Source organism: Homo sapiens, chromosome 6 (genome assembly GCF_000001405.40).
Source record: "Homo sapiens chromosome 6, GRCh38.p14 Primary Assembly".
In the NCBI taxonomy this organism is placed as follows: domain Eukaryota; kingdom Metazoa; phylum Chordata; class Mammalia; order Primates; family Hominidae; genus Homo; species Homo sapiens.
In genome coordinates this window covers 157,715,753-157,733,559 of record NC_000006.12, presented here as the reverse complement: position 1 = coordinate 157,733,559, position 17,807 = coordinate 157,715,753, and the positions used below count along the sequence as shown (strand labels likewise).

The following is a 17,807-nucleotide window of genomic DNA, read 5'->3' as shown; positions in this document are numbered from 1 at the left end:
ATCTTGGAGGCCTTTCCACCTGGAATGGCAGTGAAAGCCTTCACCTTCCACCAGGCAAATTTTTCATTTTTTTTTTTTTTGAGATAGAGTCTTGCTCTGTCACCCAGGCTGGAGTGCAGTGGCGTGATCTCAGCTCACTGCAAGCTCCACCCCTCGGATTCATGCCCTTCTCCTGCCTCAGCCACCTGAGTAGCTGGGACTATAGGCACCCGCCCCCATGTCCGGCTAATTTTTTTGTATTTTTAGTAGAGACGGGGTTTTACCGTGTTTGCCAGGATGGTCTCGATCTCCTGACCTCGTGATCCACTTGCCTCGGCCTCCTAAAGTGCTGGGATTACAGGCGTGAGCCACAGCGCCCGGCCCCACCAGGCAAATTTTTGTAAGCCAGTGTTGCAGCCTGGGCTCTGCCATTGCTCAAAACAATGTACTTGGAGAGTATCCTAGGACAGTCGGAACCTTGGGAAACGCTGGAAGTCCCCTCAGGTGGCCACAGAAGGCTGGAGCTGTGCCTGCCATTTTCAGCAACACAGATGAACCTAGAGGGTGTCAGGCCAAATAAAATAAGCCAGGCATAGAAAGACACATACTGTACGATCTCACTTAAATGTAGAATCTGAAAAAGTCAAACAGCAGCAGAGAGTAGAATTGTGGTTGCCAAGGGCGGGGGCAAGGATGGCAGAAATGGAGAGATGTTGGGCCAAGGGTACAAAGAAGATGGGCACAGTGGCTCATGCGTATAACCCCAGCTATTTGGAAGGCTGAGACAGGAAAATCACTTGAGTCCAAGAGTCCAAGGCCAGCCTGGGCAGCATAGTGGGACCTCCTCTCTAAAAACAAACAAAACAAAACAAAACAAAACATCCACAAAGGGTAGGAAAGTTCAGTTAAACAGGATGAATAAGTTCTGGGGATCTTATATACAGCAATGTGACTATAGTTAACAATACACTACTGTATACTTGAAATTTGCTAAGAGAGTTGATCTAAAGTGTTATCACCACACACACAAAATGGAAACGGTAGGAAGCGAGGGATGTGTTAATTAACTTGACTGTAGCCATCGTTTCACAATGTAAATGTATGTTGAGTCATCACATTCTATACCTTAAATATATATGATTTCCAATTGTCAAGTATACCTTAATAAAGATGAGGAAATAAATTAGGGGTCAAAAAAAGAAACAAGAACCTCTTCAAATAGGGATTTATCCACAACCTGCTGGGGCTGAGCAGGTGACCCAGGCCTAAGCCAGCTGGGATGTGGTAGTAAATGCAGCCTGAGGCAGAATGTTAGAAGGCGTGGAGTGCTGTGAGAATGGCTCTGTGATGTCCTGCATTCTTAGTGGGAGGAACTAGAGGCTTACAGCCAATGACCATGTAGTGTCTGCAATCTGACCTCAAGGCTGGAACTACTAAGGGGCCGCCCTCCCTGCCTCCAGGCTCTCCCACACAAATTCCTTCCTACCTGGTAGCCAAGGTGGTCTTTCAACTATCAATAGGCCTTTTTTGCCTCAAACCCCTCAACAGGGCTCTTCCCTGCCCTCTTGCCAAAGGAAGGAGTTCAAACTGTTGACCTGGGGACTTGGCCTTTGGTGATTGGGCTCCTGCTTCCCTGACTGGCATTCCCAGCAGTCCCAGGATGTTCCCCAGCACTGTGCGCTCCATGAGGACAGGGATCATTCCGATTAGACTGCCATCCATCAGACTGAGATCTCCAATAGGAAACCTAGTTGGGCTCCAAGCTGGAAGTGCCTAGTTTAATGCAGGACAGAGTAAGAGGGTCTTTGAGAGGGGAATGATATCCTTTATAGATTTTTGTAATAGATCGGCAGATTATTCTTACACATAGAAGAGGGATTAAATATATTTAGTAGTCGAAGGGATCTGAACTTCAGGGGATCATCCCAAAGTTTCACTACTTGATCTGAGCAATTCCAGGTGAACTACAGGAGGTCAGATGAAGACTTCACAAGTTGTTAACTCATTCAGAGAGCAAACATCTTCTTAATTAACATGGAAACCAATCCAATCTCATGTAAGAACCAAGGAAAAGAAACATTCTTCAACACAATGAGCAGGAGGTCATGGAGCCATGAGCAGACATAGATCATGGTTTCCACCTGTTGCATCTTAGGAAAAGAAACCAAATATTTCCTTCCTGCCTGCCTTCCTTTCTTCCTTCCCTCCTGCCTTCCTTTTTTCCTTCCTTCTTGCCTCCCGTCCTTCCTGCCTGCCTTCTTTCCTTCTAATGTAACATTTGCTTATTAGAGGCTGGGCCCGGTGGTTCACATCTGCAATCCCAGCACTTCAGGAGCGAGGCACGTGGATCACGAGGTCAGGAGTTTTGAGAGCAGCCTGGCCAACACGGTGAAACTCTGTCTCTACTAAAAATACAAAAATTAGCCGGGTGTGGTGGCACGCACCTGTAATCTCAGCTATTCAGGAGGCTGAGGCAGGAGAATTGCTTGAACCTGGGAGGTGGAAGTTGAAGTGAGCTGAGATCACACCACTGCACTTCAGCCTCGGCAACAGAGCAAGACTCTTTCTCAGAAATAATAATAATAATAATAATGACAAAGTAACATTTGTTTATTAGAGAAAAAGTTTGAAAATGTAGGTAAGGCCGGGCACAGTGGCTAATGCCTGTAATCCCAGCACTTTGGGAGGCTGAGGCCAGCAGATCACATGAGGCTGGGAGTTCAAGACCAGCCTGGCCAACATGGCAAAACCCATCTCTACTAAAAATACAAAAATTAGCCAGGTGCAGTGGTGGGCACCTGTAATTCCAGCTACTTGGGAGGCTGAGGCAGGAGAATTGCTTGAACCTGGAAGGCAGAGGTTGCAGTGAGCCGAGATTGCACCACTGCACTCCAGCCTGGGTGACAAAGCAAGACTCCGACCCAAAAAAAAAAAAAAAAGAACTAAGGGACATAAGTCAAATTTTCAATAGTGACTACCTCTAGGTAGAGGGCTAATGGATGGTTTTCATTTTCATTTCACTTATCTACTTTTTTGTTTTTGTTTTTGTTTTTTTTTGAGACAGTCTTGCTCTATCCCCTAGGCTGGAGTGCAGTGGCACGATCTCAGCTCACTGCAACCTCTGCCTCCCAGGTTCAAGCGATTCTTCTGCCTCAGCCTCCCAGAGTGGCTGGGACTACAGGCGCATACCACCACACCCGGCTAATTTTTGTATTTTTAGTAGAGACAGGATTTCACCATGTTGGCCAGGCTGGTCTTCGAACTCCTGACCTCAGGCGATCCACCTGCCTCGGCCTCCCAAAGTGCTGGGATTACAGGCATGAGCCACCGCGCCTGGCTCCTTCATTCTTTTTTTTTTTTTTTTTTAAAAAAAAAAAAACAGTTATACTAAGATATAATTCACGCTGCATAGAGTTCACTCATTTAAAATGTATAATCCAATTGCTTTTAGTGTATTAACAGAGTTATGCATTTATCATCACAATACATTTTAGAATACTTTCATTACTCCAAAAAGGAACCCCTGCATGCACCCCTTAGCTCTCAGCCCCAACTCCCCGCCCCCACACCCATTCCAGCCCTGGGCAACAACTCATCTACTGTCTATCTCTACAGATTTGCCTGTTCTAGATATTTCATGTCAGTGGTCCATACTTTATGTCTCTGGCTACTTTCACTTAGCTAAAAGTGTGAGTCTTATCCACCTTGTAGCATAGGTCAGTGGGGGCAAGGGGAGTTAAGTTCCTCATGTTCAGTTTATTGGAAGAATCTATTACATTTTCTTTTCATCCTTTTATGGTTTAATTTTTAATGCTTTGTTTTGGCTGGTCTCGAACTGAACTCAGGTGATCCATCCGCCTCAGCCTCCCGAAGTGCTGGGATTATAGGCATGAGCCACCTTGCATGGCCCTGGATTTTTATATAAGCAAAAAGTAAGTGAGGAATGCAACTTTGTTTTATTCTAACTCACCATCCATTTTTTTCAGCACCTTTTATTCTGCACTGTCAGAAATTCTATCTTTTTTATATTCTACATTCTATTATATATGTCAGCGCTCTCTGCTGCCTACTCAAGAGAGTCCCCAACTTAAAACTATAAAGGCAAAGCAGGGAAGGATTCTGCAGTACCTTCTAGGACTGGGGTGCAGGGTTGCTGGGACCTGGACCCACATCCTAGTTCTGCGCGGTGGGGACAGTGGGAGGCGCAGCTACCCTCAACTGTGAATGCAGAGTGCTCAAGGCTCAGTAAAAATTGGGAGTAACTAAAAGTTTTAACTTTAGGTTTCTAATAAAACATTTTAAAGAAACTACCTTTGAAGGAGGTGTGAAGGCAAGCCGGCAAGAAGAAATAGCCTCAATAGCCTTCATCTGCAACAGGGAAAATACCCAAGGGCAAAGTTTAAAATGCATTCCTAGGTTCACTGATGAATAGACAGAAAGATCCTTTTTTTTTTAATTTTTAATTTTTTTTTTTTTTTTGATGGAGTCTTGCTCTGTCACCCAGGTTGGAGTGCAGTGGTGTGATCTCGGCTCACTGCAACCTCTGCCTCCTGGGTTCAAACGATTCTCCTGCCTCAGCCTCCTGAGTAGCTGGGATTACAGGCACCTGCCACCACCATGCCTGGCTAATTTTTTGTATTTTTAGTAGACATGGGGTTTCGCCATGTTGGCCGGGCTGGTCTTGAACTCCTGACTTCAAGTGATCCACCCACCTTGGCCTCCCAAAGTGCAGGGATTACAGGCATGAGCCACTGTGCCCTGCCTAGAAAGGCTGCTTAAAGCCCAGTGTTATCTTTAATGGCTGCTTAAAGCCCAGTGTCAACTGTGCTTTCCTAGGACACCAGTGGGCACTGGGGGAGATAACAGAGGTCCCTTCTAGAAGGAACTGTTTCACCTGCTGTAAATAGCAGTATGACACTTGAAGCAAACCTCAGCCAATCCCTCTGCAGCTCTGCCACTGCAGCGAGGAATGGTAGGGACAATCTAACCTTGAGGGGGAAAAAGATAACATTGCTTCTGGGCTGTACCATGATGTCATATTTGTTGCGGAGAACAGATAACATCATAAATTTATACACTGGAGTACAAAAGCCCATTGTCCCAAGGGGAGATGCGAAGGCAAAGGTCGAAGTCGATTTCTGACACATGTTTAAGGCAGCTGAACCAGGTCCTCCTGACAGACTCTCTTCTGAATGCTTACCACCCGTTGTTGGTGTCACTAGTTTGAGAATTAATCATACTTAATTGACATGTCAACTGAAGTTGACCCTGTCCTTTGGGTTTTGAGTGAAATTGACTTGAACCTCCATCCCAGGTGTACCTGGAGATCTAGAGTTCCCTTCAAACTCTTTGGGGGATTCATAGGGTGAAGGGCATATGTATTACATTTTTCCAGGTCATCCCTAGCTCTGAAATCCTGATTCTGCAAAATCGTTTCAGCTAATGGAACATCTCTTCATCCCAGCTTGCACCTCGCTGCCCTAACTGGCCATGATTTTGATAATTTCATTTTTTGACAAGCCATCGACCAAGGCTGCATAAATAGCTGAATTTTACCGACAACTTGAGGCCATGGAGAGGTTTATACCACCACATCTGAATCTCAGTCTAATGTTAGATATGAATCAAACCTAAAATTGAATATTAGACACCCCTGCTTCGGTCTTTTGTCCATCTCATGAAGAGTTTCTATTTCACTGCCTATATCTCTACCCGCTTCTGGGCCAGCTGTGGCAGGTCAATTCTCCCTGACCATCACACAAACAGGCCTGCAGAGCACCCCAGCTACACAGACACATTTCCACAGCACTGCCTCAACATTAAGCTAATAATTAAACCCAGGGAAATTGATGCCCAGACATCAAAGCCAGAAATGAAACACACTTCCTACACAGTCTTCTCCCAAAGCTGGAGCAAGCCAAGATGATGGAGACAGCCTTACACTCCTCGTGCCAGGACCCATCTCAGGTTAATGAAGTCTGAGATGAGTCAAGGTAACTGAGGCAGCTGTTTGAATAGATTTATGGGAGAGTTTAAGGCAGCTCTCTGGACCAAACTGCAAATGAGATAAGATAGGAATAATCACTCTGGTACCACAGTCCTCATTAAATAGAATTTAGGAGACAGGCCTTGAAGGTACTGGGGCCCTCACAGCTTGATCAGACTTAGAAAGCATTTTTTGGCCTCTGATCTTCTAGTTGAAACGAAATTAGTTACCCATAGACTTAGGTGAATGTGATACTGCACATAGGCATATGACCCCAATCTATATAAGCACTAAGAAAATTGTAACACTTTGAGTTGGTCTAGTGGAATTATCTCTGACCTTCTCCCTGTATCTGGTTACTACAAGAAATTCCCTTCTTTCCTAGTTTGTCTGCTTCTCGTTATTGGGCCACGAGAAAACACAGCCAGACCCGGCTCGGTTCCAGGAACAATCTGGCCTCCTGTCTCCCTTCCCTCGACCTTTTGCCTTAATTAATTCACTTCCTTCCACCATACCCAGATTTCTCCTAACCTCTTACACAGACCATTTTGGCTCTCTTTTTTCACTGCCTCCTTCCAGATAAACTGTTGAAGCCTCACCTCCGAACTAGAGTGACCTCTCAAGGTATTTTCAAAACCAAAGTCCATCCTCTTCCTGAGTGGAACTCCAGTGTTAGCTGATAGAACAACATTTTATCAGATCCATGTGCAATTTCTAATTATGGCAACCTGTGACAGTTCTGAATTTTTTTAAACTCCTGTGTTGTTTTTAAATATTTTAGTTAAACAGTGAGATAGGGCCAGGAGTAGCACCTGTTCCCATAAGCCAGACTAGAAAACTTCATGTTTCACCTTATTGGGCATTGGGTACAGCACTCAGAAAGGTTTTACCTCAGTAATGAGGAGGAATGAGTCCTAGATTAATCATGGCTCAGTCCCACCTAAGAAGTATTCAAAGCAAGCAAGCAAAACTGAGACTGTTTCCAAGTCACTTAATTTGTCCAAGAATATTTATAAGAATACAAAAATATCCAGTATTCAACAAGGCAAAATCCCTAATGTCTGACATCTAATAAAAAATTACCAGGTATTCAAAGAAGCATAAAAATTCAATCTGTAATGAGGTGAAAACTAAATCAATCAAAACCAAGTCAGAACTAGCACAGATGTTAGAATGAGCAGACAAGGATATTGAAATAATCACAATACCTGTATTCTGTATGTTCAAATAGTTAAGGAGAGACATGGAAGATATAAAAAGGACCCAAAATAAACTTTCAGAGATGAAAGCTACACTGGCTGAGATGAAAAATACGTTGGATGGGATTAATGACCATGGAAGAGATTCCAGAAGAAAGATTCGTAAACTTCAAGACAATGGCGGAGATGACCCAACAGGAAACACACAGAGAAAGAAGAATTTAATAAATGGTCCATCACTGAGTGTGGTGAGATGGGACAGTTCCTTTGACCTTGACCCCCTTTGTGGGTGGGAACTGGAGTGGCTTGTTTCCTTCAGCCTGCTGCTGGCCACTCCTCGTGAGAGGGAGTGTGTGAGCAAGTGAGCGTGGGAAACAGAGGGAATGAACACTGGAACCAGCTGGTCACTCCTCTCTGGTGGGAGCAGGCTCTGTGCAGGCCTGTGGCAGCATCCAAACCCCTGTCCTCTCGGCACTCAGGTTCTTGTTTGGTGTTCGGGAAGAATCAGGTAACTCAAACGGATTGAAGGGTAGTGTATGTGGAGGATTTTCTTGGGTGATGGATATGGCTCTCAGCAGAATGGGGAGTTGGAAAGGGGATGGTATGGGAAGAAGGGTGCAGGAAGAAGGCGACCTTTCCCTGAAGCCGCACTGTCTGAAGTTATCTGCGTCTATCCGTAATCTCTGACATTCAGTTGATGCCTTTCTGCTTGCCACTCAGCCACTTGTATCCCTGACACTCGGCGGCCTGCATCCCTGACTGCTTGCATCAGCTGCTTGTGTTGCTCTGCCAGCTGAAGTCTTTTTATGGGCACAGAATAGGGGTGTGGCAGGCCAAAAAGCAACTTTTGGGTGGAAAAGCAAGGTCAGCTGTTTTCACTTAGGGCCACAGTTCCAAGCTCAAGGCTGAGGTTTAGCCAGAAGCCCAGCTGTTCTGTATCAGTGGGAAACTTTAATCAGCTTAATCCATAATTAAGGTCCCTGAAGTGGAGGAGAGAGAGGAAGGACAGAATAAATATTTGAAAAAATAAGAGTTGAAAAATGTGCAATTTTGTTGAAAACTAACCAACCCACAGATCTAAGTAGCTCCACACAAGGAAACCTCAAGCACAAGAAACATGAAGAAAACCACGAGACACATCACAACCAAACTGTTCAGAACCCGTGATAAGAACGAAATCCTAAAAGCAACCAGAGAAAAAAGACACATTATGTACAGAGAAACAAAGACAAGACTCATGGCAGATTTCTTGTCAGAAACAATGCAAGTGAGAAGTTAGTGGAGCAACATCTGAAGTATCGGGAAAAAAAAGTCAACCAGGAATCTTATGATATCGACTGAAAACATCTTTCAGAAATGAATGCTAAACTTTGTTGAAGATATAAAAGATGAAAGAATTTATCACCCGCAGACCTGAATTATCATGTCTCTCCATGTCCTCAGCAGTATTGGTTTCAGGACCCCTGAGGATACCAAAATCCTTGGATACTCACGTCCCTGATATAAAATGATATCGTCAACCTAAAATAATCAAAAGGGTCAGAATCTAGTTTAAAGAAAGTTTATTCAAGCTCCAAGTTTCAAGATGGCTGCCCAGGAAGCACAGATTCCAAAGAATGAAAGTCAATGTTCCAAAGTGTGGAAGTTTGGAATCATTTATATAGACAAATTCAGGGGGTGCTTAGTAGAATGTCAGCATCCTTCTATACAAGGCTTAATGCGTAGTCACAAATGGTCTGATTAGTCAAGGTGTTTTTTTCTTTCAGGGAAGGCATATTTCACATTCCATATGGAAGATGTGTCATGGGGTCTTTTGCACCATCTGGTTGAAGTTAGGTACAAGACAGTAAAGGAGGCAGTTAATCTACAAGAAGGGTCAGTGGTTGGAAGAGGGGAGGTCTGGCCTCTGATCTCTCCTAGTCATTTAAAGAACAAGAACAAGGAGGAAGAGAGTTGATCTACAATCTAAGAAGCTGAAGTTACAGCTATATGCTGTGGGACTCAGGTCTCCCTGGGCCTGGTACATTTTGCATACCTCGCATAGTTCAGACTGTTCCAAGCTATTTTGCTTCACTTACTCCTAAACAACAGCCTCGGGACCTTCTGGGGTTGTGAACACACTGAAGTGCTGGGCGGCTGTTCAGAGAGGGCATGGAAGCTCCACGCCCCCTCCCTTTTCCTATGCATTTGTTTGTTCCTGAGTTAGATCCTTTATAATAAACTGGTAATAGTAAGTAAAGTACTTTCCTGAGTTCTGTGAGCTGTTCCAGCAAATTCTTGAACCTGCAGAGGGGATTGTGGGAACCCCTCCCCACTTTATAGCCAGTTGGTGAGAAGCACTGGTGGCTTGGAGTTCAGCCTGGTGCATGCAATCCAGGTGGTCTTACAGGGCCGAGCCCCCAACTGGTGGGGTCTGTGCTTACTCCAGAAGTTATCAGCAGAATGGAATTGAATTGCAGGACAACCAGTTGGTGTCTGAGAGATTGGGAACTGGTTTTGAAGGAAAAAATCCACATATTTGGTCTCAGACGTGTTGTGAGTCAAAATAGTTCAAAGGGAGGGACTGCTCAGCCTGGTCCCTTGTCCCTAATTCAGTCTGAGGCTTCCCAAGACTAAAATGTGCTTGCTATTAGATTGTATTGGGAGCTAAACCTCTTTCTCCCTTGATCTTGAGTCCTTGGGCTCAACTTTGGAAGGATATCCAGAGGTTTTTTGTATAAAATATTCATCCAAACCCGAACAAGACAAGCTTGCCACGCTTCAGCAGTTTCTGTGAGGTTGGTTTTCTTGGAGCCTGAAGAAAACCTCCAAGGGCTGAGCCTGAATGATAGATTTGGCATGGGAGGGAAAAACCCAGAGCTTGAGAAACTTAAATGACAAGAAACCGAGTTTGCTGTGGAACAGACCTGAAGTTATTAGTTCACAGTGACAGTTTAGCTCTCGCAGGCTCAGGCATTATTTTTTTAAGTGATTCTGAACTACTCTGTTAAGAGAATGTTGTTTCCTAAGATTAAGGAAACTTTGACTATTAAGAAAAGATTTTTTTAATCACTTGTGCCCTGTCTACTTTTAAAAGAGTTTAGAGGTGGCTTAAAATACTAAAGTGTGTAGAAAGTAGGTCAGTGAAAATAGAGGTTAGAAGGAGCGCAGAGAGGTCAAGGGTGAGATGGATAAATTTAATGCTCATTCTAGAAGTTATTAATTCAGGACATAAGGGTGGTTGGACAGATTATGAAGTTCACATTGCTTGATTAAAGAAAACTGGCTAGAGAGATGGATATTTTCAGGTGCTGAATTTTATGAGGATTTGTGTGTGTGTGTGTGTGTGTGTCCTCATACAAGGGGCTTGAAAAATGTCTCTAGTAATTTTGTAAAAGATATAATTTTTTTTTTGAGACAGAGTCTTGCTCTGTCACCCAGGCTGGAGTGCAGTGGCACGATCTTGACTCACTGCAAACTCCGCCTCCCAGGTTCAAGCAATTCTCGTGCCTGAGCCTCCCAAGGAGCTGGGATTACAGGTGTCTGCCACCACGCCTGGCTAATTTTTGTATTTTCAGTAGAGACGGGGTTTCACCATATTGGTCAGGCTGGTCTTGAATTCCTGACCTCAGGTGATCCACCCGCCTCGGCCTCCCAAAGTGCTGGGATTACAGGCATGAACTACCGTGCCTGGCCCTGGATATAAAAGCTTTTTAAAAAACAGGATAAAAACACTGAGTGAGGATCATTTGCAGGATACCTCATCTTCTGCTTTACGCGAGCTCCGATTCATCCGCCTCCTGCCTATCCTTAAGGCGAGGAAAGACAGAGAAGCGCTTTGCTAAAAATGCTGTAGGCTGGAGCAAAATGGCTGTGGAGGCACAGACAGTCATCATTGGAGTTAAGAGAACATGGAGAGAAAAGTGAATGTGCACCGAAAATAATTCTAGAGGGCGTAGCATCCTGTGGCCTCTGGAATACAGGCTTGAGATCATCTGTGACCACCGGCTCAGGCAAGACTTAAGGTTTTTCCTCACATCCTGTGTCTAGAGCACTTATACCAATATTGCAAAAGAAATGGTGGTTAGAGGGCTTATTGTCAGATGAGGATAACAAAAGAAGTGCTTTTTACCCTGCCGGCCAAAAAGAGAAGGTAATTATTGGAGAAGCAGATTTGACCTTTGGATGACAGAGAATAGAAGAAAAAATCACCCCATTTTCAGCTTAGGGTTTAGGAAGAAAACATGAAAACACTTCACCTCTATAACCTGGGAGCATCTGCATCAGACTTGAGGGTTTTACCGAATTCCGGTGGCGCCCAGTTCCCCTTGCAGGAGAGCCTTGGAAACCGGGGACCCAGCAGGAACGGGCTTCATGGGAAAGTGCTATGGATTCAGCCCCTGGACCCAAAGGAGGACTTAGGAGAGCTGGTTTCCCCTCGAGGACCCAGAAAGGCTCTCCTTCTGAGCCCAGACACTTTGAACTTGGAAGACGGGTCTTGGAGGATTTTTGTTGCATTCCTGGGACTCCATCAATGTGTATGGTTTGAATATCTCTACGTGGCCAGGCACTGTGGAAGGTGCTAGCACCACAAAGAACAACAACAGACACATCCCTGGTCGCTTGCATCGCACTAAAGAGCAGGACGGGCGGGAAGGAGGGAAAGAACCTCGGTCCACGAAGTTCTCCAGCAAAGCAGCCTGACTCAGACGAAGGGCGAGCTTCCCTGAGGAGGTGCACCGAGCGGGAGGAGTGGACGGGAGGTCAGAGGAGAGAGCCGCGGTGGGGAAGAGGGTTCCCTGCAGAGTGTGCACACAGGCCGGGCCACACAAAGGCAGCGAGGCTTTGTCCTAGAGAAATGCAGTGCCATTGTAGCATTGTAAGCAGGGCAGACGACAATCAGATCTGGGTTTTGAGATCACTCTGGCCGCAGTGTGGAGGAGCAATTAGAGAAGGGCCTGAATCCGGTTATTTTATTCCTTTGAATAACTGATTTTATTTCTTCAAGTTTAAGGTGATTCACCTGGAGAATGCTGATGGTGCCTATCCGTTAAGATTAGCATGACGCTGCATTCCGGTGTGCTTGGGACAATCCTGGTTTATGTCTGTGGTCCTGCTATAATTTTTTTTTTTTTTGAGGTGGGGTCTCGCTGTGTCGCCCAGGCTGCAGTGCAGTGGCGCAATCTTGGCTCACTGCAGCCTCTGTCTCCCGGGTTCAAGCAATTCTCCCACCTAAGCCTCTGGAGTAGCTGGAATTGCAGGGGTGTGCCACCATGCCTGGCTACCTGTTGCATTTTTAGTAGAGGTGGGGTTTCACCATGTTGGCCAGGCTGGTCTCAAACTCCTGACCTCAAGTAATCCACTGGCCTCAGCCTCCTAAAGTGCTGGGACTATAGGCTTGAGCCACTGTGCCTGGCCCCTGCTATAATTATTAATAGTGCCCCTTTCACTCAAAGATGTCTGGGTTCAGGCAAGGAATTACATGATCACTGTAGTTACAATGTTTTTGTTTTTGTAGAAACAAGGTCTTGCTATGTCAACCAGGCTGGTCTTGAACTCCTGGCCTCAAGCTGTCCTCCTGCCTCAGTATACTGTTAAACAACCCCAAACAGACTGGTTTGGCAGTAAGGGGATCTCCAGCTCGCCTTCCTAAAGAGGCCACAGGCAGGGCAGCTTCACAGTCAGCTGGGTAATGGGCTGTGAGGTGTCTTCACAACCCTGGATTCTCCTTATTTCTCTGCTCTGCCTCTCAGAGGGTCAGCGTCACCCTTGGCCTGCCTTCTCTCATGGTGACAATGTTGTCCCACAGTCCCAGAGCTTGTATCCACACTTCAGAGGGAGAGGGACTCCTCTAGCAAATCTTTGCTTGTGTCTCATGAGCCCAGCTGGGTCCCAGGCCATTGCTGAACCAATGCTGTGATTTGTCTGAATGCCATACTCAACGCCTAAACCCATCACTGTAGACCCCTGTGAGATACAATCGCTCCATTCTCTGTTTTAGATTAACCAGGGCCTTCCTGAGGGAGGGGCCTTCCTCTCCCAAAGCCATGGGCTGCATGAGGCAGGAGAGGCTACTTAAATGAAAATCTGAAACCCCTTAGGAAAGGGAAAGGGGAGGATGGATTCTAGTTGCAATCAACAAAGTGTACAACACCAGACATTAGGATATTAGGGTTCTTCTATTTGCGACTCTAAGGGATGTAGTGTTTTGGAAGGGGAGAGCTCTTTATCTTTAAAGGAGAACAGCATCCTTCATTATTCATGTAGCATTTCATATAGCAAACCTTGCGACCAGACATGCTAATGAATATTCAAGAACATCCAAGAATGAGGAGGCTCAAGTCTTGACTCTTTTTTTTTTCACTTTGAGACAGAGTCTGACTCTGTTGTCTAGGCTGGAGTGTAGTGGCTCAATCTCGGCTCACTGCAACCTTTGGCTTACTGCAACCTCCATCTGCCAGGTTCAAGTGATTCTCCTGCCTCAGCCTCCCAAGGAGCTGGAGTTATGGGCACGCGCCACCACGCCTAGCTAATTTTGTATTTTTTAGTAGAGACGGGGTTTCACCATGTTGGTCAGGATGGTCTCGAACTCCTGACCTCAGGTGATCCACCTGCCTCGGCCTCCCAAAATGTTGGGATTACAGGCGTGAGCCACCATGCCCGGCCATCTTGACTCTTTTATATTCATTTCGGAAGCTCAAATTCACCTTCACACCGTCCTTCCTTTGAGCATCACTGAGCTACGGTGTGTGTGTCTCTCCTCTAATCGCGACTGCTGTCACAGCACTATCTTCGCTGAGTTCTCTTCTAAGCACATTTCGCATCTAATTGAGTTATCGTCACTCAGTGCCAGGAAAGACTGAGACTGAGGCAGGAAAAGACACGCCTGAGCCAAATGTGTCTGCCAGAGTTTAAAAGGGTTTGCTGCTGTCTTTAAGTCCTTGGCTTAATTCCAAGATAATGTGTAAGTGCTTTAGGATTGACTGTTATTTTGTATTTTCTGGCTTTTGGCTCTTCTCCATTAACATAATGGCTAACCCTGTAATTGTTATGAAAGAATGAGACCATTTTACCCTGAGCTTGGAAAAGGGTAGAGACAATGTCTATTTTCTTGCTTCTGGAGCCTCTCCGGATAAACCTTATTTTATTATCATTCCAGGGGTGCCCACCTGACATGGCAGAGGATGGGTCCATGGTTAAGCCACTGCGCTCTCACCTAGAAGTGAGCACAATGGTGGGTTGAGGACATTCTGGGAGGTTCGGGAGCTTTTCTGCCATTATCCTGGGAGCAAGAGGCACCCTGCAGTGGGATGCACCCTGCGGGCAGGACCTGGGCATGGGGTCAGAGTGGGCCGGGCCAGAGCACACTGCCTCATCAGGGAGTTGTGGCTGGGGAGGCCCCTAAGAAACTTCCACAGAAAGGGCCCGCCACCCAGCAGGCAACAATGGCCAAGGGAAGTCCCCAGTGGCACTGCGTGAATAAAGACTTTGATCTCCTCTGCCTCCCTTCTTCCCTTCACAGCACATTGGAGAAAAGAGAGGAGGAAGAAGGAGTTGGGCAGAGACTCTCACCCCTCTGCAAACCAAGGCTCTGAGGCTGGGACCTACTACTCCTTCTGCTAGGAGGTGAGGATGTGCAATGGAAGTGAATTAAAATGGATTGGACAAGACTTTGAAAAAAAAAAAACCCTGTGTCATCCAAGAGATGGAATCAGAATAGGATCCCTAAGGGACTAGACGTTTATGAGAAAAATAAAGCAATTTCATGTTTGTTTCACTTGTTCCGTAAAGTAGTTGGCCACACATGTCTAGGATGAATTACACCAAACCAATCTAGCTTTTATTTTTTAATTCAAGACTTCTACACTCACCATAGATGGATAATTTCTCTATGCTGATAAAGCCTGTTATATGTTTCTTGCCATGGTGTCTTTTTAGAATGCATAGAGAAAGAGGGATATAGGATCTGAGCTCAAAGAGGACCCCAAAGGATGTGGGAAAAATGAAACGCTCATACACTGTTGGTGAGAATGGAAGTTAGTACAACCTCTGTGGAAAATTGGAGAGTTCTCAAAGAAGGAAAAATAGAACTACCCTTGGATCTGGCAATCCTACTACTGGTTGTTATATACCTGAAGGAAAATAAATCATTATATAAAAAAGACACCTGGACTGTCAGCTGTAGCAGTATTCACAATAGCGAAGTCCTGGAATCAACCCAAGTGCCCATCACCAGATGATTGGATTAAAAAGTGGTACATACATACATCATGGAATACAACTCAGCCATAAAAAAGAATGCAATATTGTCTTTTGCAGCAACATGGATAGAACTGGGGGCCATTATCCTTAGTGAAATGGCCCAGAAACAGAAAATCCAAAACTTCACTTTCTTACTTATATGTAGGTACCCCCAGACATACAGAGGGAAATAATAGACACTGGAGACTCCAAATGGTGGGCAGGTGGGAGGGGTGAGGGATCACCTCTTGGGTTCATTGTACACTATTTGGGTAATGAGCATACTGAAAGCCCCGATTTCACCACTGTGCAATATATTCATGTAAAACAACTGCATTTGTACCCCTAAATCCATAAAAATAAAACATTTAATAAAACTAAAAAAGACTTTGAAAAAAATAAGAGGCTCATGCCAAACCTGAGTGGCATTTCTATAGCTATGCTTTGAAGGCCCATCCTTAAACACGCCCGGCTCAGCCTCAGTTCCTTGCACGTGACCTACTTTTTCAAGAAAACATTTATGGAGCACTTCCTGTGCGTAAGACCTTGGTGTTAGGAGCTGCAGAGGCAAGACTGTTCCTTACAACCTGGTTTCCTTCTGGATGCTTCCTACCTAGTGAGCACCAGGCAGTAAATAAAATAAGGGTGGAGCCATGGCTCTGAGCAGGGGGTGGGCACTGTGGTGTGGGAGAAGGGGGTACTTCTCCCTCCTCAGGCTGGAAGAGAGGTAGAGCAGGCATGCACTCTGACCCGAGCAGGGCGGGCCAGCCGAGCACAAGCTTCTTTCACTTAAAGGAGCAGGAATGATAAAGAGTAACTTAGCTAGGCTGGGTGGGGTGGATCACACTTGTAATAGCAGCACTTTGGGAGTCTGAGGCCCAAGAGTTCTAGACCAGGCTGGGGAATACAGCCAGACCCTCATCTCTACAAAAAATGAAAATTAGCTGGTGTGGTGGTGCATGCTTGTAGTCCCAGCTACTTGGGGGACTGAGATGGGAGGATTGTTGAGCCAGGAGTTTGCGGCTTCAGTGAGCTATGATCGCACCACTGCACTCCAGCCTCGGTGACAGAGCAAGACCCTGTCTCAAAACAAACAAACAAACACCAAAAAAACCAAGGGACGAACGCTGGCTAGATGGATCAGGTGTCACAGCCATTGCTGTTTGGCCAGTAAAATGCAGCCCAGCAAGTGCGGAGATGACAGACGGGCATGGGATTGCTGAGCAGGGGTTCGCAAAGGACAGAGGTACTGGACACTGAATTTGCTTTGTGTTGATATTGTTTCCCCTTTTCCCAAAAAGAGGCATGGGAAGCATGGCATGAATCACTTATGGGCAACGTGAGACAAATTTCTAAAATGGTTTGCTGCACGCAACCAATTTCACATTGAAAGCCACTCCTGCTAAATGCTGAAAAGCCATAAATCATCCAGCCTAATGGATTTTGTCCCATCTATTCAGTATCTTCCAGGGCATTGAATTTAGAATGTAATGCACTAAGAAAAAAACAAAACAAAACACCTCCCTAGAAAACCATATAAGCTTGAACATTTTCAAAGTAAAATCGCTCATGCTAAAAGCATCCCTCCCTCCTTGTGAAAAGACCTTGACCACTTCTCTCTTGCTGGTCTCCCCGTAGCAGACAACGGCTCGCCTCCCAGTGCCACAGGAAGAACGTGGCTGCCTCAACATGAGCCCAGCCCTGCCACTCCAGGTGTGAGACCTGGGCAAGCAGCATCAGTCTTGCAGCCACAGCTTTCTTGTCCATCCAGTGGACCTAGGGCTATTGTGACTATAAATGAAAAAAGAACCTAAGACAGCCCTGGCCTTAAGTAGTTGCTTAAAACGTGATGGCCGGCATGATGGTTTTTTAAACATTTGGGTCCCCTGCTCTCTTCCCCCATGTTTCCTAGTGTCTGGGTTGGAGGCAGCCTTAGCCACCTTCTTCTTACCTTGCCTTCCCTCCTTCCTACCTGTGTCCAGGACAAAATGCCTGAGGAATGTCTCTGCTTCATTAAGCAGCAAAACACACAATGACCCTTGTCATTATAGCCGCTATTCCTGGTGGGCGAGGGTCCACCCAGCTCTGGCTTCAGTTAAGCTTCTGACTGGGGAGAGCCTGGGATCCTTTTTTGGGGAAATGGCTCACTAGTTCTTTGACTGGGTGGGGCTATTTTCCAGGCTGCAAGAAAAGAGCCTCGCCCCTGCTGCTCCGAGGCCAGGCTTCTCCCTGCAGAGCCTGGGTCAGATCAGCTGGGATTCCAGGGCTGACCAATTTCGTCATGAGGGTTGCTCTAATTCACTGTTTGGGAAACTCAGCCCTGGAAAACAAAACTGTGTTGCAAGATTTCTTCATTCCTTGGTTTGCACACCATCAAATTACGCATGAGTTTAATGTAATTTGAGCTTTTCTCTCAGATGAAA

General features: G+C 45.7%; 2 annotated features.

Moving 5' to 3' along the window:
* Positions 322-847: an enhancer, noted in NCBI's record as "H3K4me1 hESC enhancer chr6:158153745-158154270 (GRCh37/hg19 assembly coordinates)". NCBI's record gives its function as "activates a minimal SCP1, AML or CMV promoter by ChIP-STARR-seq in naive H9 embryonic stem cells {active_cell/tissue: H9 hESC(naive)}" and the evidence as "EXISTENCE:reporter gene assay evidence [ECO:0000049][PMID:30033119]".
* Positions 1,105-1,626: an enhancer, noted in NCBI's record as "NANOG hESC enhancer chr6:158152966-158153487 (GRCh37/hg19 assembly coordinates)". NCBI's record gives its function as "activates a minimal SCP1, AML or CMV promoter by ChIP-STARR-seq in naive H9 embryonic stem cells {active_cell/tissue: H9 hESC(naive)}" and the evidence as "EXISTENCE:reporter gene assay evidence [ECO:0000049][PMID:30033119]".